The sequence below is a fragment of the Homo sapiens genome, chromosome 10, assembly GCF_000001405.40.
Source record: "Homo sapiens chromosome 10, GRCh38.p14 Primary Assembly".
In the NCBI taxonomy this organism is placed as follows: domain Eukaryota; kingdom Metazoa; phylum Chordata; class Mammalia; order Primates; family Hominidae; genus Homo; species Homo sapiens.
Window position 1 is genome coordinate 133,410,361 of NC_000010.11, and position 19,695 is coordinate 133,430,055.

The window sequence follows — 19,695 nt, forward strand, 5'->3', positions numbered from 1 at the left end:
CTATGTCTTTTAGTTGGAGAATATAGTACATTTGCTTTCAATATTATTATGGATAAAGACTTAATATTGCCATTTTGTTGCTTGTTTTCTGATTGTAACTCCTCTCTTCCTTTTTTACTGTCTTCCTTCGCATGTGGTTAAGAGATTTTCTCTGTTGGTATGTTTTAATTTGTTGCTTTGTATTTTTAGTCTATGTATTATATGTAGTGTACCATCAGGCTTACAAAAAGCATTTTATATTTATAACAAGTTATTTAGTTATTTTAGCTGGGCGTGGTGCTCTGTGACTGTACCCTAGGTACTCAGGAGGCTGAGATAGGAGGATTGCTGGAGCCCAGGAGTTTGAGGCTGCAGTGAGCTATGATCGTGCCATCGCACTTCAGCCTGGGTGACAGAGTGAGACCCCTCTCTTAAAAAACAATCATTTTAAACACATGACACCTTATCTGTGATCACAGAGGAAAGAATAGAAACAAAGGAGAAACTGAAGAATTCTGTACTTTAACTGCATCTTTCCCCCAAATTTTCACGTTTTCTTATTTCAATTTATTTTTTTTTATATTGGCTCTCTCTTTCCAGGTTGCTGTAGTTATTATTTTTGATACATTTTTCTTTTAGTCTTCACACTAGAGATGTGAATGAATGCACACCACATTCACAGTATTATTCTGAGTCTGTGTGTTTACTTTTGCCAGTGGGTTTTATACTTCACATGTTTTCTTTTTGTACATTAGTGTCTTTTTCTTTCAGATTGAAGAACTTTTTTTTAGCATTTCTTGAAAGTTGGGTCTGATGAATTCCCTCAGCTTTACTCTTTCATGTTTGAAGGTGTGTCCTCAGTTGACAGTTGCATTTTTTTTTCCTTCAGCACTTTGAATATATCATCCCATTGCCTCCTGGCCTATATGGATTTCCTGGAGAAGTCTGTTGCCAGTTACATTGGAGCTCTTTTATAAATATATTTGCTGCTTTTCTCTTACTACTTGTACTACTTACTGCTTGTAGGATTCTTTCTTTGTCCTTGACTTTTGAGAGTTTGATTATTATATTCTGTAGGGTAGTTTTATTTGGGTTAAATCTGTTTGGTGATCTCTGACCTCCCTGTACCTGGACATTTATGTCTTTCTGAGGGTTTGAAAATTTTTCTGTAATTATTTCTTTGAATAAACTTTCTGTGCCTTCCTCTTGCTCGGTTCCTTCTTGAACCCCAGTAATTCCTAGGTTTGCTCCTCTGAGGCAGTTTTCTGTATCTTGCATGTGTTCTTCATTCCTTTTCATTCTTCTTTTTTCTCTTTCCTCTTCTATATGTTTTCAAATAGCCAGTCTTCAGGCTCACTGATTTTTTCCTCTGCTTGGTCCATTCTGCTGTTGAGAGCCTCTAATATATTTTTCAGCAAATGTATTTTTTACTTCCAGGATTTCTGTTTGATTTTTTTTTTTTAATTTCAATCTCTGTTAAATTTGTCTGACAAATTTGTGAGTTGTTTTTCTGTGTTTTATTGGAGTTTGCTGAGTTTTTTTTTAACTGTTACCTTGAATTCTTGATTTGAGCGCTTACACGTTGCCATCTCATTAGGGTTGGCCACTGGCTCTTTGCTTTGTCTGTTTGAGAAGGTCGCGGTTTTCCGTTAGCTGTTGTTTCTTGTGCACATATGTCTGTGGTTTTGCATTGAAGGATTTGTTATCCAGGCTTTCCTGTCTGGCTTTTTTTTTCTTGGATGTTTGCTTAGAGGTTTTTTGCAGCTTACTTTCTGCCTGGAGTTTTTTTCACTTCTCTGGTCTCATCCTCAGATTTGAGTTCTGGAATATTGCTGGTGATATTCTTGGCACTGGATGTTTGGTTTTGGTTTTCTTTGAGAGGGTGAGGGAAGCCAGATTGCTTCTACTTCTCTATTTGGTGATGTCATTCCCTCTATTAACTCTTCGCTATTTTTGATACTATTGTAAATGGTATTGTTTTTATGTTCACTTTTGATTTTTCATTGCTAGTATACAGAAGTAGAATTGATTTTTGTATATTGATCTTGTATCTTGTAACCCTGCTAAACTCATTTATTCATTCTATTAGCTCTTTGTAGATTCCAGTTAGATTTTTTACCTAGACAATTATGTCATTTGCAAATAAAGATCATCTTACTTTTTCTTTTCCAGTCCAGATGCCATATTTTGTTTTCTTGCTTTATTGCACTGGCTACAGTCTTCAATACAATTGACAGGTTTTTTTAGTATTTGAGATGTGGTGAGAACAGACATCTTTTTTTGTTCCTGATCTAAGGTAGGAAGCTTTTAGTCTCTTACCATTGAGTGCAGTATTAGGTATGGGTGTTTCTTAGATGCCCTTTATCAGGTTGAAGAGAACAGTCTGGCTAGAGGCTTATTAATTTTATTGATTTTTCCCAAAGAATCAGCTTCTGGTTTCATTGACTTTCTGTTGTCTTTGTTTTTTATGTCATTGATTTCCATTCGATGTTTATTTTTTTATTTCTACTTTGGTAATTTTCTATTTGTACTACCAATTATTGTGAGAGGGGCACTGAAATTTCCCACTGTAACTGAATTTCTGTTTCTTCTTGCTGTTCAGTCAGTTTTGGCTTCGTGTATTTCGAAGCTCTGCTGTTAGGTACAGAAACGCTCAGGAGATTGTTATGTCCTCTTGATGATTTGATGCCTTTATCATTAGGAAATGATCTTTTTTTATCCTTCAGAATATTCTCTGCTCTGAAATCTTTCTTGTCTGATATTAATATAGCCACCACTTTTGTTTTTTTGAGACAGAGTCTCACTCTGTTTCTCAGGCTGGAGTGCAGAGGTACAATGTTGTCTCACTGCAACCTCCGCCTCCTGGGTTCAAATGATTTTCATGCCTCAGTCTCCTGAGTAGCTGGGATTACAGGCGCCTGCCACCATGCCCAGCTAATTGTTTTTGTATTTTTAGTAGAGATGGGGTTTCACCATGTTGGCCAGGCTGGTCTTGAACTCCTAATCTCAGGTGATCCACCCATGTCGGCCTCCCAAAGTGCTGGGATTACAGGTGTGAGCCACTGCGCCTGGCTAATTTTTTTGTGTGTTTTTAGTAGAGATGGGAGTTTCGCCATGTTGGCCAGGCTGGTCTTGAACTCCTGACCTCAAGTGATCCACGTGCCTCCCAAAGTGCTGGGATTTCAGATGTGAGCCACCGTGCCCGGCCCATTTGTCTCAATTTTTGTTTTCTTTTTTCCTCTCTCTTGCCTCTTTAGGATTGAATATTTTTAAACGATTCTACTGTATCTTCTTTGTTAGCTTATTGTCTACAACTTTTGGGAGAGGTTGCTTTAGGGTGTATAGTATGTCTTTAAGTGATGACCTTACAATAATGCATTTCTGTTTTTCTTATCCTGATTCTTGTGCCATCATCATCATGATATATTTTACCTTTACATATTTTATAACCTCCAGATATACTTTCTTTCCTTCATACAGTTATCTTTTAAAGAAATATAAAATACCAGAAAAAAAGTTGTATATATTTTCCCATCAGTTTACCATCCACACCTTCTCATTTCTTTGTGTTTTCTTTTCTTTTTTTTTTTTTTTTATTGATCATTCTTGGGTGTTTCTCGCAGAGGGGGATTTGGCAGGGTCACAGGACAATAGTGGAGGGAAGGTCAGCAGATAAACAAGTGAACGAAGGTCTCTGGTTTTCCTAGGCAGAGGACCCTGCGACCTTCCGCAGTGTTTGTGTCCCTGGGTACTTGAGATTAGGGAGTGGTGATGACTCTTAACGAGCATGCTGCCTTCAAGCATCTGTTTAACAAAGCACATCTTGCACTGCCCTTAATCCATTTAACCCTGAGTGGACACAGCACATGTTTCAGAGAGCACAGGGTTGGGGGTAAGGTCACAGATCAACAGGATCCCAAGGCAGAAGAATTTTTCTTAGTACAGAACAAAATGAAAAGTCTCCCATGTCTACTTCTTTCTACACAGACACGGCAACCATCCGATTTCTCAATCTTTTCCCCACCTTTCCCCCTTCTCTATTCCACAAAACCGCCATTGTCATCATGGCCTGTTCTCAATGAGCTGTTGGGTACAACTCCCAGACGGGGTGGTGGCCGGGCAGAGGGGCTCCTCACTTCCCAGACGGGGTGGCTGCTGGGCGGAGGGGCTCCTCACATCCCAGACGGGGTCGCGGCCGGGCAGAGGCGCTCCCCACATCTCAGACGATGGGCGGCGGGGCAGAGACACTCCTCACTTCCTAGATGGGATGGCGGCCGGGAAGAGGCGCTCATCACTTCCCAGACTGGGCAGCCAGGCAGAGGGGCTCCTCACATCCCAGACGATGGGCGGCCAGGCAGAGGGGCTCCTCACATCCCAGACAATGGGCGGCCAGGCAGAGACGCTCCTCGCTTCCCAGATGGGGTGGCGGCCGGGCAGAGGCTGCAATCTCGGCACTTTGGGAGGCCAAGGCAGGCGGCTGGGAGGTGGAGGTTGTAGCGAGCCGAGATCACACCACTGCACTCCAGCCTGGGCACCATTGAGCACTGAGTGAACGAGACTCCGTCTGCAATCCCTGCACCTCGGGAGGCCGAGGCTGGCGGATCACTTGTGGTTAGGAGCTGGAGACCAGCCCGGCCAACACAGCGAAACCCCATCTCCACCAAAAAAATACGAAAACCAGTCAGGCGTGGTGGCGCGCGCCTGCAATTGGAGGCACTCGGCAGGCTGAGGCAGGAGAATCAGGCAGGGAGGTTGCAGTGAGCAGAGATGGCGGCAGTACAGTCCAGCTTCGGCTCGGCATCAGAGGGAGACCGTGGAAAGAGAGGGAGAGGGAGACCGTGGAGAGGGAGAGGGAGCGGAGCGGGAGCGGGAGAGGGAGCGGGAGCGGGCGCCCCTGTTTTTTCATAGACGGGTCCTGCACTCATTTCTTTGTGTAGGTCCAGGTTTCCTTCTGGTGTGATTTTACTTCTGTCTGAAGGATTTCCTTTAACATGTATTGTAAGGCAGGTTTGCTAGTGATGAATTCTTTCAGCTTTTGGTTGTCTGAAGATGTCTTTATTTCACCTTTGTTTTGAAAGATATTTTCTCTACGTGTAGAATTCCAGATTGACGGGGTTTTTTAGTGCTTGAGAGGGGTTGGTCTCCCTTTCTCACTTGCGTGGTGTCTGATGAGCCGTCTGCGGTCATGTTTGTTTGTTTTAGTGCTTGAGAGGGGTTGGTCTCCCTTTTTCACCTGCGTGGTGTCTGATGAGCCGTCTGTGGTCGTGTGTGTTTGTTCCTCTGCTGCTTCCAGGATTTTCTCTCTCAGTGCTTTTGAGCAACTTGATTACGATGGACCTTGGTATGGTTTTCTATGTGTTCCTTGTGCTTGTAGTTCATTGAGATTTTTGGATCTGGGTCTTTGTAGTTTTCATGAAATTTGCATCATTTTGAAACTTCATATCTGCAGGTGTTTTTTCTGTCCCTCTACTCCTCAGGACCTCAGGCATGCAGGTATCAGGCACGCGGGTATCAGGCAGGTGGGTATCAGGCATGCAGTTATCAGGCATGCCGGTATCAGGCACGTGGGCCTCAGGCACACAGGTATCACGTGGGTATCAGGCACGCAGTTATCAGGCACGCGGGTGTCGGGCAGGCGGGTGTCGGCACGCGGGTGTCGGGCAGGCGGGTGTCGGGCACGTGGGTGTCGGGCAGGCGGGCGTCGGGCAGGCGGGCGTCAGGCTGCTTGGCTTTGCCCCACCGCAGCTCAGTAAAGCTTTGTGCCTGTTTTGTGGTTTCTGTTGCTGTGTCTTCGGGTTCACTCATCTTTTCTTCTGCAATGTATAATCTGCTGTTCATCCCACTCAGTAGTTTTCATAGTTTTCACTTCCGCAAGTTGAGTTTGGATCGTTTTAAAAAATATCTTTCGTGTTTCAGCTTAGATTTAATGTCTTGTCTGCTAATTCTAACATTGGGTCAGTTTGAGTTGACTGATTTTTCTTCTCATTAGGGGGTCTGTTTTTTTGCTTTGTAGGCCTGGCAATTTTTGGATGATATATATATATATATATTTTTCTTTTTATTTTATTTTATTATTATTATACTTTAAGTTTTAGGGTACATGTGCACAATGTGTAGGTTAGTTACATATGTACACATGTGCCATGCTGGTGTACTGCACCCATTAACTCGTCATTTAGCATTAGGTATATCTCCTAATGCTATCCCTCCCCCCTCCCCCCACCCCACAACAGTCCCAGGTGTGTGATGTTCCCCTTCCTGTGTCCATGTGTTCTCATTGTTCAATTCCCACCTATGAGTGAGAATATGCGGTGTTTGGTTTTTTGTTCTTGCGATAGTTTACTGAGAATGATGATTTCCAATTTCATCCATGTCCCTACAAAGGACATGAACTCATCATTTTTTATGGCTGCATAGTATTCCATGGTGTATATGTGCCACATTTTCTTAATCCAGTCTATTATTGTTGGACATTTGGGTTGGTTCCAAGTCTTTGCTATTGTGAATAATGCCGCAATAAACACATGTGTGCATGTGTCTTTATAGCAGCATGATTTATAGTCCTTTGGGTATATACCCAGTAATGGGATAGCTGGGTCAAATGGTATTTCCAGTTCTAGATCCCTGAGGAATCGCCACACTGACTTCCACAATGGTTGAACTAGTTTACAGTCCCACCAACAGTGTAAAAGTGTTCCTATTTCTCCACATCCTCTCCAGCACCTGTTGTTTCCTGACTTTTTAATGATTGCCATTCTAACTGGTGTGAGATGGTATCTCATTGTGGTTTTGATTTGCATTTCTCTGATGGCCAGCAGCACATCAAAAAGCTTATCCACCATGATCAAGTGGGCTTCATCCCTGGGATGCAAGGCTGGTTCAATATACGCAAATCAATAAATGTAATCCAGCATATAAACAGAACCAAAGACAAAAACCACATGATTATCTCAATAGATGCAGAAAAGGCCTTTGACAAAATTCAACAACCTTCATGCTAAAAACTCTCAATAAATTAGGTATTGATGGGACGTATCTCAAAATAATAAGAGCTATCTATGACAAACCCACAGCCAATATCATACTGAATGGGCAAAAACTGGAAGCATTCCCTTTGAAAACTGGCACAAGACAGGGATGCCCTCTCTCACCACTCCTATTCAACATAGTGTTGGAAGTTCTGGCCAGGGCAGTTAGGCAGGAGAAGGAAATAAAGGGTATTCAATTAGGAAAAGAGGAAATCAAATTGTCCCTGTTTGCAGATGACATGATTGTATATCTAGAAAACCCCATTGTCTCAGCCCAAAATCTCCTTAAGCTGATAAGCAACTTCAGCAAAGTCTCAGGATACAAAATCAATGTACAAAAATCACCAGCATTCTTATACACCAATAACAGACAAACAGCCAAATCATGAGTGAACTCCCATTCACAATTGCTTCAAAGAGAATAAAATACCTAGGAATCCAACTTACAAGGGACGTGAAGGACCTCTTCAAGGAGAACTACAAACCACTGCTCAATGAAATAAAAGAGAATACAAACAAATGGAAGAACATTCCATGCTCATTGGTAGGAAGAATCAATATTGTGAAAATGGCCATACTGCCCAAGGTAATTTATAGATTCAATGCCATCCCCATCAAGCTACCAATGACTTTCTTTTTTTCTTTTTTTTGAGATGGCATCTCACTCTGTCGCCCAGCCAGGCTACAGTGCAGTGGCACAATCTCAGCCCACTGCAGCCTCCACCTCCTGGGTTCAAGCGATTCTCCCGCCTTAGCCTCCCAAGTAGCTGGGATTACAAGCATGTGCCACCACACCTGGCTAATTTTTGTATTTTTAGTAGAGACAGGGTTTCACCATATTGGTGAACAGGCTGGTGTCGAACTCCTGACCTCAAGTGATCCGTCCACCTTGGCCTCCCAAAGTTCTGGGATTACAGGCGTGAGCCACCATGCCTGGCTGGATGCCATGTATTTTGAGTTTCACCTTGTTAGGTGATGGATATCTACATTCCTGTAAAAATTCTTGAGCTTTGTTGTGGGACAGTTAGATTATTGGAAACAGTCCGGTCCTTTCAGGAGTTCTTCCCATTGGCAGGTCTCGGGGGTGGTCCGGGGCGCCTCCTCCAGGCTTGCTCCTCTCTCCTGGGACAGCTTTTTTGGAGCACCAGGGCACCCTTGAGGCTGCTGATTCAGAGCTCATGCTTGGTGCCTCCGAGAAGTTAGATTTAGAACCTGTGTTACTCAGGGTTCTGATGCTCCTATGGGCTCTGAGCTCATGTCTTGCTTTGCTGGGCCTTGGGGTGAGTCCTCTGTTACCGGCTCATGCTGTGACCAGGTCCGAGGGCACCAGCCTCCTCAAGGTTGAGCCTGCCCTCGTGGGAGCCACGAGACAGGTTCCCCTCACCCCTGGCTGTCAGGAAGGTTGGGAGAGTGTTGGGTCTGGGTTAGTCGGGCTCCCAAGGCTTAGGGTGGTGTTTGTCCCTGTGAGTGGCTGCTCTGTGCTGGCCTTTCCCTCCAGGCCTCTCTGCCCAGAGCCTGCACTGTGAGGAGTCAGAGTGCCCGTTACAATCACTGGGTGACGCTTAGCAGCGGTGGGTGCCTAGTCAGCCCATGCTGGTCCCTGTGCTAGGAAAACACCGCTCAAACACCCAGCCGGGTGGAGAGGATGCAGGTGTACTGGCTGCCTGGAAGTTACCGAGTGCCATCCTTAGCAGCAAACAGAGTATGTTTGCAGATGGTCTGCTGTGCTCCTCTTTTAGTTTCCAGGACCTGGGCCTGCACAGAGGCCTGCCTGTCCTACCCCGGATAGAGTGGATGAAGCCTGTGTGTGTGAACAGCTGTTACTCCTCCCGCTGCGGCAAGGGCTCCGGTGGTGGGAGCCGCCCCCCATGCTGCTGGCCGTGGCCACACAGGACGAAGCTCAGGGATGATTCTTAGATAGTGGCTCTCCCCCGGGGCCCAGCACCGGTCACCTGCAGTCTCATCTTGGTCATCCACAGCGCCGCAGTCACTGTCACCCACAGGAGGTGCCTGGCCGTGGCCTTTGTGGCATTCAGGAGGAAGGGCCCGGCCTGGCTGGCCGCGCGGTGTCAGTGCTGGGCCCCCTGGTGCTGACCTGCAGCCTATGTGCAGGTACGTGCAGCACTACGGCCTGGGCAGTGCCTGTGACAACGTAGAGCGCGTGCTGAAGAGTGTGGCTGTGAAGCTGGGGAAGACGCAGAAGGTGAAGGTGCTCACGGGCACGGGTGAGTGAGGTCGCTGATGCGGGCACCGGAGCCTCACCCCATCACCCTGGGGGACCCCGGCCATCCCTGGAGGAGGCAGGGAGGAGAGGAACGTGTCAAGGAGCATGCGCCGGGTCTTCTGGGAATGGGTTTCAGGGCAGGGGAGCTACAGAAAGTTCTGGAGAGGAAGGGCTTGTAGTCCAGGCTTCCGAGGGTGAGACCAGCCCTGCCGCGTATTGGGCAGTGCTAGGTGGACACCTGCAGGCCTCACATGCCTGGCCTTGGAGGCTCCGGGCAGCGTAGCTCAAGCTGTTTTCTTTCTGAGTGTGATCCCGTTCCCTGGGCTTCCCTGATGCCATCATGGAGCCTCTTAGGGCTGGTCCCTCAGGTGGGTAAGGGCTGGGCCTGTCCTGCTGTGAAGGCTCCTTCCTCACTGAACCCTCCCGTCCCCCAGGTAACGTGAACATTATTCAGCCTAACTATCCTGCGGCAGCCCGTGACTTCCTGCAGACTTTCCGCCGTGGGCTGCTGGGTTCCGTGATGCTGGACCTCGACGTCCTGCGGGGCCACCCCCCGGCTGAGACTTTGCCCTGAACTTGTCCGGGTAGGGAGGGCCGGAGGCATGTGGCCTCCCAGACCTCCTGACCTGGGTGGTTGAGGCTCAAGACAGCTCACCCGGTCCAGAAGCTCCATGCTGGTCACTAGGGTGCTGTGCTCTCTGGCGCCCCACAGCCTGGCCAGCTCCAGGGACCCCAGTTGCAGGGCCCAAGCAGGTGGGAGTGGACACCAGGCTTCCCAGTGGACGTCCCTGAGCAGCTCCGCATGCTTGGTTCTCCCGGAGCTTCCTGCTCAGGCCTCTTGAGAAATGGATGCTGTCTCAGAAGGAGTTAAAGCTATAACCTGTAACCTTTAAAATCTCCAGTTAAAGGGCCTGTTTCTTACTGGCCTGTGAGGTGCACCGTAGTGCCTTGGGCCTGTGTGTTAAAGCTGCTCTCACCAGTGAAACCTAAGAAATGAGCAGGTTGGCAGCTAGGGTTTGTGTTGGAGGCTTTCGGTCCAGTGTCTTGCAGTCCTACAACAAGTGAGAGGCTTGCTGCCATCAGAGAGGTTTATTTCACACTTACAGGCACACACAGACACAGACCAGAGACTCCCAGCAGCAGAGCCCAAGCACTGGCTTCGCCCCTCAGTGCCCTGGGGCATGTTCAGGGCAGGGTTGAGGGGGACGCCCTGCACATGGCTTTGCTGTGCAATGACTGGAAGGCCGCCCGGCATGGGCAGTAGAGACCCCTGGCCTCTGAGCACCTTCTAGCTCACGGGTAGTGGGATTCTGCATTAGTGGGGCTGAGAGATGTGGGGGCCCCTCCAGCCCCATTATAGTGCACCTGAAGGGGTCCACAGCCTGTGTCCTAGAAGAGGGAAGAGGAAGGAAGGTGGGTGGGGCTGGTAGTATGGACTAAGGTGCTGCAGGACCTGGGGCCAGGGACATCCTGTGCAGAAGCTCCGGCTGCCTCTTTGCGGTGGTGGCCTGACCGTCCCACAGCAGCCTCCACCAGGGCCCTGGTGCTCAGTGGCCCCTCTTTGCTGGCTGGCTGCCTCTGCTGCCCCATACCCCACACACTCATCAGCCTGAAGTTAGCCCCTGAGTGCCACCTGCATCGTGCCATAACCCTGACCGCCTGGGGCAGGAAGTATTCAGGTTGGCTGTGTCAGATGCTAATGTGCTGAATCAACAGTCATTGCAGATCACGAAGTGTCCATCATAACTGGAACATTCCATCAGCTTGCAGTGCTGTGGTGTGTGAGGGTCTGGTGCAGCTCAGCCCATTTTCCAGGTGGGCATCTGCAAAGTTGAGGGGGCTCCGGTGGGTCTCTCTGCTGTGAGGAGACTCAGACCACCCCCTGCCTCCTGGGGGAAATGTCAGAAGGGCTTCTCTGCCTATGAGGATCTGGGGCAGGGCTTGGCCTTGGCCTGCTGGTCTTGGAGGCGTTGAGCTTGGTCTGGAAGGGGTGGAGGAGCGTCTGGGCTCACTGGGCCAGGGGCATTGCTGGCAGTGTGGACGGGAGGCTGCAGGGCGCTGCCTCCTGTGGCTTAGTGCCCTGGAGCTAGAGAGCAGTGCTTGGTTGAGTCCTGCCAACAGCTTCCAGATCCTCACCCAGGCCAGAACCCAGGCCAGCTGGGGAAGGCAGAGGCTGGCAGGGCCCGTGGTGGGTGCTGGTCTTGACTTTGGTGTCCACTGAGTCCCGAGGCTCAGGCCCAGGAGGGATGCAGTCCGGCTGAGGGCGAGGCTGTCCCCAGGACATGGAGAGGGTGAGATCCCAAGGCCACGGCGGGGGGCAGGGAGAACCCCTCCTACCCTGGATGAGTGGGTGACTGGAGAGCTAGAGAACGTGGCAGACCCAAGACCTCTCAGTGCTGAGCCCATGGAGGATGCCCCAGGCTGGCGGGACTGGGAAGCAGAGGGCTGGTCTTAACACAGGTGTGTCCAGTGCTGGAGGCAAGTCCTTGTCGTGACTGTCCAGCGCCACTCCATGTCTCTCCTGTCCTTGGATGTTGGGGGGCTCAGCCTCTTGCATGGGTGTCCTGCTGGGCGCTGGGCCCCGCCACTGGCCCCCTGCTTGCTTTGGGGTCTGAGTTAGCTCCTGGCTCCACTGAGCAGGCCGTCAGCTGCCAGCCCACCACGCGGATACCCAGGCCCTGTTCCGAGGCCTGGAACAGCTGCTTCCGAAGAAGGGGCTGCCTTCAGGGAAATGCGTGCACCGTGCAGCCTGTGCTGTGCCCAGGGAGGCCTCTTCAGCGGGATTGGCAGTTGCTGTGCCCTGAGAACAGGCAGAACTGTGTGATCCCTGAATGTGAACCTGAAGTTCAAAGGACTTGGAAAGCTCTGGAATGTGTTGGTTTTTCCCCCCCAAAATGGGTCCTAAGGAGGGTAAAGTGACTTGTTTCAAGTTGTTGGAGCAAAGTGGGTCTCTCACGGATCTCGGCCTGAGGGTGTGGGGGAGAAGGCCTGGACAGCCCCTCAGGGCAGGGTGTGTTTTCCCACCAGCCGCAGAGAGCCAGGATGGACGTTCCTCGGACGGACGGTTTTCCTGCTTGGGAATGTTCCTGGGCTGTGAGATCCACTCTTCTGGGCAGGTGGTTAGCACCTAACGTTTTTCCCTCACTTCCCCCCAAATTCTTAAGTCCTTTGGTCCATTTCACTGCTTCTTTTGGGGAGGGTCAGATTCCTCAGGGGCTCAGTGGCAGAACCAGCCTGATGTCGCCTCCCTGCCCGTGAGTCACCACGGCCCCTGGGCAGGCGAGGGGAGCCGGGGTGGCTTGGGTTCCTGGCCTTGGCACCTCCCTTTGGGCGGCGATGGAGCGTGGCTGGGCGGTTGGTACAGGAGCCACAGGCAGCTGCCTTTTTGGCTGAGGGGACCCTAACATCCTGGAGTGGGTGGGGCAGGGCCCATGGTCTCCTCTAGGTGGGAGGTGGCAGGCTGAGGCGGCGTGGGCAGGACGGTGGATGGCGGGTCCACAGGGACAGCCAGCAGCTCCTGCACCCAGTGGGGCTCCAAGACCGTGGGCAAGGGAGGAAGGGGGAGCCCAGGCCGGAGGATCCTGGGGGATGGCGCGGGCCGGGGGCCAGATGTGGTCCCCGAGCCCAGCCAGGCCTAGGGCCGCAGCAGCCCCAGGGCTCCGAGGGCGCCGCCCAGCACGAGACAGAGACGCGGGCCGCGCGTGGGTCCAGCGCCCGAAGTCCACGCCCGGTAGCTGTAGATGCCGGGGCCTGTCCCGTTGCCTCCGGGCACCCCGTCCTCCTCGTCCTCCAGGCCGCGTTCCCCGGGTCCCGCGGCCCTTCTCCAGCCCGAGCCCGCCGCCAGGCCCGCGGCCGCTCCCGCCGCCGCCCCGGCTGCCGCCCCGGCGGCAGCCACGCGCAGGGAGGAGCCCGGGGCACCGTAGCGCTGCGCCGGCCTCACGCGCACCCTCGAGGCCCCGCGCGCACCCCCGCGGACCCCTCCCCGGGCACTGCCCCGCGCACCTCCGCGGCCGCCCTTGGCTGCGCCGCTGTCGCAGAGGAAGGCGGCCGCCAGTAGCAGAGCCCAGCACGTTGCGGGTGCCCAGTTCATCTTCGTGGGGCTAAACCTGCGGGAAGAGAGGGAAAGGGCCCTTAGTTTCCATGGAGATCGGGTGCCCAGGGGCGGAGGGCTCAAGGCTGGAGAGCAGAGGGACCCCCATCTTTTGTGGGATCAGGGTGCCCCCAGCATCTTGGAGGCCCACTGAGGCCTGGGGGGGCGCGGTTTAACCTCTAGCATCAGGGACTTAGGCCTGGGGGAGGCGCTGGGAAGTGGCAGGTGGGGCAGGAGGGTTCTGCACCTGAAGGTTGTGCACCTGGATTGGGGGTGTAGAAGCGGGGCAGGAGCGTTCAGGCCTCTGGGGGCGTCCAGGCCCGGGCGGGGGAGCAAGCCTGGGGGAGGGAGCTCTGCACGCGTTGCTGGGATGTGGGGGGCGGGGGGAGGCGGCATGGGGGGAGGGGCGTTGTGTTTGGAGGACGCGGTAGCCGGGACCAAGAGCTGGCTCAGATCAGGGTCTGGAACGGGGACGGGCCGTGCCTGGGCCTGGTCCCCACCTTTGGGGCCAAAGCCTGGGTGCGGGCCTTGCGGATGCTGCGGAGGACAAGCGGCTGCTGACATCGTGCGGACTCCGCCCCAGCAGACCCGTGCCCCAGGGGCAGTCCCTCCCGCGCGCGCCCGGCGCTCAATGCCGTCCCCGGCCGCCTAGTTCAGCAGCTGGCTGGGGGCGGGACGGGGTCGAGTTGCGGGGCCGCGTCCAGACACGGCTGTGCGGGCGACAGCTGCATCCCCTCCCCGCGCCGCCCCTCGCTCCCGGCCCCGTACCCGCCCCAGCCTCCCGGCCTTACCCGCCACGGGCCTCGGTTGGAACCGCGCGCTGGAGTATCCGTCCCTGAGGCCGCGGCCGAGCGGGAAGGAGCGGGCGGGCGGCGGCGCGGACCCTCAGCCGGAGCGCGGAGCCGCGGCGCCTGGGTTTTGCGCGAGGCCTCCGCCCTGGGATTGGGGCGGGCAGTCGCGGAGGCGCATCCCTGGTGAGCCGGTGGGAGGGGAAAAGGATGTCGCGTCCCCCATCCTTGCGGCCTCCCGTCCTCCGTCACCAGCCCCCTCCGTCTCCTGCATCACAAGGCCCCGTCCCCGCGGTCCCCCGCGACCCCCGCACCCGGCCCCGCTCCACCCGCCGTGCTTCCTGCCCCTCCACACCCTCGTCCCCACCCGGGCCCATCCCCCTGTGAGCCCTGGTGCCCTGGGATGAGGGCCGAGGTCCTGAGCGGAGAGGGTGCTTGTACCAGCCCCATGGTGGCTCGAGCCCACCCCGCGGCCCCTCCCGTGGCAGGTGCGGTTTCTCCACCGGTTGTCAGCTGCGGGGCCGGGCGGAGACCTCCTCAACCTCCGGCCTTGTTTCAGGGAGGATGGGGTCGACCCTTGCGATCCCCAGAGGCCCCCCATGGCTCCTCCTGGGCTGGCTGTCTTCCTCCTGTGGGTTCTGATGCCACCTGGGCCGACGGCGTCTTCTCAGCCCAGGGCGGCCGCGCCTCCGGTGAGTTTCAGCTGAGGGCGCACGGCCAGCTCCGAGCCTGGCTCCGGGTGCAGCACCGGCCTGGGACCTCTGCTGTCCCGCGTAGGGGTGCCCTGCAAATATGTGATGAATAAGTGAAGAAATACGTTCTATCTTCTAACTTGCCGGATGTTAGAAGGAAACCAAGCTTATGCTTCTCATTTATAGCTACCGTTAAGGATTGGACAGAAGCTTAGCTTTTTGGGTGAGACGGACAACAGTGTTTTTAGAACCTTTGGCAAGGAAGAGCTGGAAAGAACATGTATTTGAAAGTGACTGACAGGTCTTCTGGCCCTAGGGGGCCACCTGAGCAGGTGCACCCAGCTTCCCTCCAAGACAGAAAATAAATTAAGAAGGAGAGCAGGAAGGGCCCCGGCAGACTCCAGACGGGAGGGGGTGCTGCCCATCAGGCAGAAGGAGCTTGGAAGGGAGGGGCCGTGGCCATGGGACGTGGAGGTGGGAGCGGGGGTCATCATAGGTCTGCACACTCGGGTTGAGTCCCCCTTCCCCATCACACACAGGACAGCCAGCAGTGAGCTGCTTACCCCAAGGAGTCAAGGGGGTTCTTGGGCAACCCCTGGTGCTGGAGCCGGCAGTGGACAGCACCGCAGCCAGACCTTGCTTATTTTTGGCTCATGAGGAACATCTGTGACCGTTCCCTCCCCTGGCCCTGGGAGGGGATGTGTGACCTCCACTCAAGACAGCCATGCGGCTCCTCCGGCTGCGGGCGGGGAGGGCATGTTTCCCAGCACAGGCCCAGGACTGCCAGCTGAGAGGCTGGGAGGGGCCCCTCACCCCTAGACTTTGCATGTGAAGCCAAGCGTGGAGCCTCACAGGGAATCTGAGATGGGAGCCAGTGAGATGGGGGCAGGACCCAGAGGGGAGAAGAGGTCCTGGGGATGCTGTGGATCTGGATCCAGCGTGCGGGAGCTGAGGTTCCGGAGTGAAACACTGCCTTTCATGGAAGCACGTCTTCCTGTCACCCATCGGCTTCATTTTAAAGGATGAAAATGTATCAGACATTCAAGGAGAGCTGCATCACATAAAAGAAAGACCAGGCAAAGAAACGGAAAATAAATGGATTGAGAAATGTGAATGACTCCAATCATTCCAATCATTGGAATGAATGGATTGGATAAAACTCCAATCCATAGACTCAGATTAGGGAGATATATTTATATAATAAGAACAGGAAACTGTGAAGATGAAATAAGACAAAAAAGACACTTTTGAGATTAAAAAATTACTGCAAAAAAAAAAAACCAACAGAAGGATGGAATTGTATATTTAAGGAAATGTTTCTGGCAAAAAGGCAGCAAATATGAAAGAAAAGGGGATAGACCCAGGGGATCCATTTTGGGCTCTAACATCTAACAGTTGTTCCAAGGCCGAGAACACAGAATGGGAAAAGGAAGGGGGAGGCGGTGCTCCAGCTGATTTTATGATTCCAGAAGCCTTCTATCTTAAGATGTATAGGATGTATCTTAGGGTGTATAAGAGAAGCGCAAGAGAAACATTTAGGCTGTTTTATGTTTGAGTAGAGACATGAAAGTTTTAAATAAAGCAGCAGCACAATGAGTCCAGCGGCACATCAGAAAGCAAATCACCATGATCAGGTCAGGTTCAGGGTGGTTTTATGTCATGATATATGTCAGTGTGCTTTACCTATTAGTGGACCAAAGGCAAAAAATACGGTTTTCTACAGAGAAAGACAAAGCATTTGATTTCAATCAACATTCGTTTGTGGTGAAACATGTTGAGAAAACTCATCATAGAAGTGAAATGTTTTCTTTGATAAAGGCTAATCTCAGAAGACATACGTAGTGGAGAGCTTTTAAATGTATTTTTAAAAATACGAACCAATGAGAAGATTGCCTACTTTCACCGCTTCTGTTTAACACAGCATTGGCAGAGCTGCCACCAAGAAGAACACAGCACGTTGAAGGCACGGTGGCTCCTGAAGCTGCAGCCCTGAGACCTGATTGTACCATGGAAGGTGGGGTGGCTCCTGCAGCTGTAGCCCTGAGACCTGATTCCACCACAAGTGCTGCAGCTGGCAGAGGCCACAGGACATAGGCATAGCTGGTGAAACCTGCAACTGAGGGTGTCGGGGGCTCCTGGGAGAGCCTCCGTCCCCCCTAAGGAGAGGGGCTGCGTAGAACCTGTGTGCTATTGTCCTTTCCCCCTTTTTCCTGCTGGGAGTGGGACTTGGTGCCAAGGGTGGCTCCTGCCATCGGAAGACCCCAGGATGCTGGGTCAGCGGCTAGGCGGGTGGAGGGTGGGGTTGTCCCCGGCACACAGCGGTGCTGCTCTGCCACTCTGCACTGCTGGGTGTCTCACATCTCATCCCTGTATTAAGCAGGTACTCCCTAGACTTGCAGCCAGATGTATACCTTAGATTTAAAAGATGGTAGAATTTCTCTACCAGAACAAAAAATAGCTTTAAAAAATATAAGATAAAAAGCCATTCATAGTCTGGCACGATGGCTCATGCCTGTAATCCTAGCACTTTGGGAGGCCGAGTCGGGCAGATCACCTGAGGCCAGGAGTTCGAGACCAGACTGGTCAAAATGGTGAAACCCCGTCTCTACTAAAATTACAAAAATTAGCTAGTCATGGTGGTACATGCCTGTAATCCTAGCTACACGGGAGGCTGAGGCACGAGAATCACTTGAACCCAGGAGGTGGAGGTTGCAGTGAGCTGAGATTGCGCCACTGCACTCCAGCCTGGGTGACAGAGCAAGACTCCTCCTCCAAAAAAAAAAAAAAAAAAAAAGCCATTCACCACAGTCCGCAATGTAAAAGACCTCTATGAAGAACATCCTAAAGTTATTAAAGAATATAAAAGAAAATCTGCATAAATGGAGGATGCACAGGATATTGTGAAGGTGACAGTTCACCACAAATTGATCCATAAATTTAATGAAATTACAATAAAAATCTTTACATAATTTTTAAAAGACTCTGTTATGAGCTGAACCGTGTCTCCCTCAAATTCATGCATTGAAGTCCCAACCCCTAATACTGTGGGGGTGGGTGCATTTGGAAATAGGACCTTAAAGAGGTGACTAAGGTTAAATGAGGTGAGGTGAGCTTGATGTCGTTAACAAGAGCAACTCAGGACCCAGACACCCACTGTGGGATGGCCCTGTGAAGACATAGGGAGAAGATGGTGTCTACAAGCCAAGAAGAGAGGCTGCAGAAGAAACCAACCCTGCCAAACTGTGAGAAAACAAATTTCTGTTGTTTAAGCCACCCTGTCTGTGGCACTTTGTTATGGTAGTAACAAAATAGCACAGAGCCCAAAAGTTTCTAAAGTCTATATGGAAAAATAAAGGCCTAAAATAACTATTAATAAAATAATTTTGAAAAAGAAGATCAAAGAAGAGTAACTCACCATGTCATATTAAGACATAAAAAGCCATAGTAATAAAACAACCCAGTCTTGGCAAGGATTAGACAGAGACCAACACAAGAGAACAAGGATACCATTAAGAAACTCATGTAGGAGCCTGTCCACGTCTACAGGAATAAAACAAGATTGAGAATTTTAGTAGAGAATGGGAAACTAAAAGGACAAAAAGGAAAGTCTAGAATCAAAAAATACATTTTAAAACACAGAAGATTAGACATGGCTAGAGAGAGAATTAGTAACCTGAAAGATCAGAAAATATCCAGAAAAAAAAAAGCATGCAGAATAGGATGTTAGGAGGCAGAGGGTACACTATAGAAAGGCCTGACATGCCATGTAATATTAGAACCAATGGAAGAAGAGAATGAGGTAGATGTAATATTTAAGGAAATAATCACCAATAAGTTCCAAAAACTGATGAAAGAAATTAAATCATGAATTCTAGAGGCATTACAAACTCCAAGTGCAATAAATCAAAAAAAAAAAAAAAAAAAAAAAAAAAAAAAAGGCATACCTAGGTAAGACAGCTGTAAACCAAACAACTTCCAGAAGCGGGAAACTCAAATTACCTGCAAAAGAGTAAAAGTAAGACTGGCAGCTGACTTCTCAACAGAAAGAGGCAGTGGGTGACAAAGCAGAAATGCAGTTTGTCAAGTCCCTGTCCCAGCGTCACAGAGCTGACTGTGAAGGGTGGTTAGAAGCTAAGAGGCAGCAGATTAATAATTGGCATGGATAAAAAATAGATACCATGCAAATACTAACTAAAAGGAAGCCAGTGTAGCTGTATTAATGCCAGACAAAGTAGACTTTATACTTAAAGGTTGAGGTAAAAGCACTACTAGGGACAAAGAGTAATGCCTCTTAGTGATGAAAGGTAAATTTACCAAGATGATAAAACATTTCTAAATCTGTATGCACTTCATGACATAACCTCACAATATACAAAACAAAAATAGTAAGAAAGGAGATTTAGAGTGAAAACTCATTGACATAAATTTAAAACACAAATACCACGCATCTGTTGAGTACCTCTCTCTCCAAGGACACATGCTGAATGCATCACACTGGGTGGCTGTGATGAGGGAGGTGGGATTGGGGCATGGAAAAACTGAAATCAAGTGAGAGATACCTCCCCACAACCAGGTGCCGCAGCCCAATAGGAAGAGACGTGCTCGGTCAACTTAGTTTCTGCCCTCAAGCACCAGAGAGAAAAGGCAGAGAAAACAGGTAAGGGCATGTTGTCTATTCATTAGACCCATGGAGTTTTCAATAAAAGGACACAAAATGACATTCCTGTTTCTGAGGAAAGGGGACACCTGTGTGTTTGGTGGTGCTGCCTGGATGTGCCAGAGCCCTTTGCTCACCTGGCCTCAGGCTCTGCTCTGAGAAGCTGGGACCTCATGGCAAGGAGACCATCCCTCTGGGCCTGCAGGACTGGGCAGAGTGGCTGGCCTCCATAGCAGC

At 50.9% G+C, this 19,695-nt stretch overlaps 2 protein-coding genes and 1 long non-coding RNA gene across 4 annotated transcripts in view, besides 2 other annotated features; 2 read left to right on the top strand and 1 right to left on the bottom strand.

Moving 5' to 3' along the window:
- The window catches only part of MTG1 (mitochondrial ribosome associated GTPase 1), a 28,364-nt gene extending 16,204 nt beyond the window's left edge, over positions 1-12,160 (top strand). The window contains exons 10-11 of the mRNA NM_138384.4: positions 9,120-9,232; positions 9,666-12,160. Of these exons, the coding sequence (NP_612393.2) occupies positions 9,120-9,232; positions 9,666-9,805 (253 nt within the window). The 3' untranslated portion in view covers positions 9,806-12,160. The remainder of the gene's footprint in view (positions 1-9,119; positions 9,233-9,665) is intronic.
- Positions 10,306-14,265, bottom strand: SPRN (shadow of prion protein). Of its 2 annotated transcripts, none has more exons than NM_001012508.6 (2): positions 14,117-14,265; positions 10,306-13,337 (listed from the first exon to the last, which is right to left on the bottom strand). In NM_001012508.6, exon 2 carries the CDS (start codon positions 13,319-13,321, stop codon positions 12,866-12,868), a length of 456 nt encoding a protein of 151 aa, NP_001012526.2. In that variant the 5' UTR covers positions 13,322-13,337; positions 14,117-14,265; the 3' UTR covers positions 10,306-12,865. The 2 variants fall into 2 exon arrangements, with proteins under 2 accessions (NP_001012526.2, NP_001378903.1); NM_001391974.1 differs by having other exon boundaries at positions 14,113-14,265.
- Positions 12,643-13,262: an enhancer, noted in NCBI's record as "H3K27ac-H3K4me1 hESC enhancer chr10:135236507-135237126 (GRCh37/hg19 assembly coordinates)". NCBI's record gives its function as "activates a minimal SCP1, AML or CMV promoter by ChIP-STARR-seq in primed H9 embryonic stem cells {active_cell/tissue: H9 hESC(primed)}" and the evidence as "EXISTENCE:reporter gene assay evidence [ECO:0000049][PMID:30033119]".
- Positions 14,081-14,588: an enhancer, noted in NCBI's record as "H3K27ac-H3K4me1 hESC enhancer chr10:135237945-135238452 (GRCh37/hg19 assembly coordinates)". NCBI's record gives its function as "activates a minimal SCP1, AML or CMV promoter by ChIP-STARR-seq in naive H9 embryonic stem cells {active_cell/tissue: H9 hESC(naive)}" and the evidence as "EXISTENCE:reporter gene assay evidence [ECO:0000049][PMID:30033119]".
- LOC124902564 (uncharacterized) lies at positions 14,210-19,521 on the top strand. The gene is made up of 2 exons (XR_007062397.1): positions 14,210-14,801; positions 19,375-19,521. It is a non-coding gene; the product is annotated as an uncharacterized LOC124902564 (long non-coding RNA).
- Positions 19,522-19,695: the final 174 nt, after the last annotated feature.

Excerpts from the sequence above, each read along its gene's own strand:
- SPRN (NM_001012508.6), bottom strand. The coding sequence starts at position 13,321 with ATGAACTGGGCACCCGCAACGTGCTGGGCTCTGCTACTGGCGGCCGCC.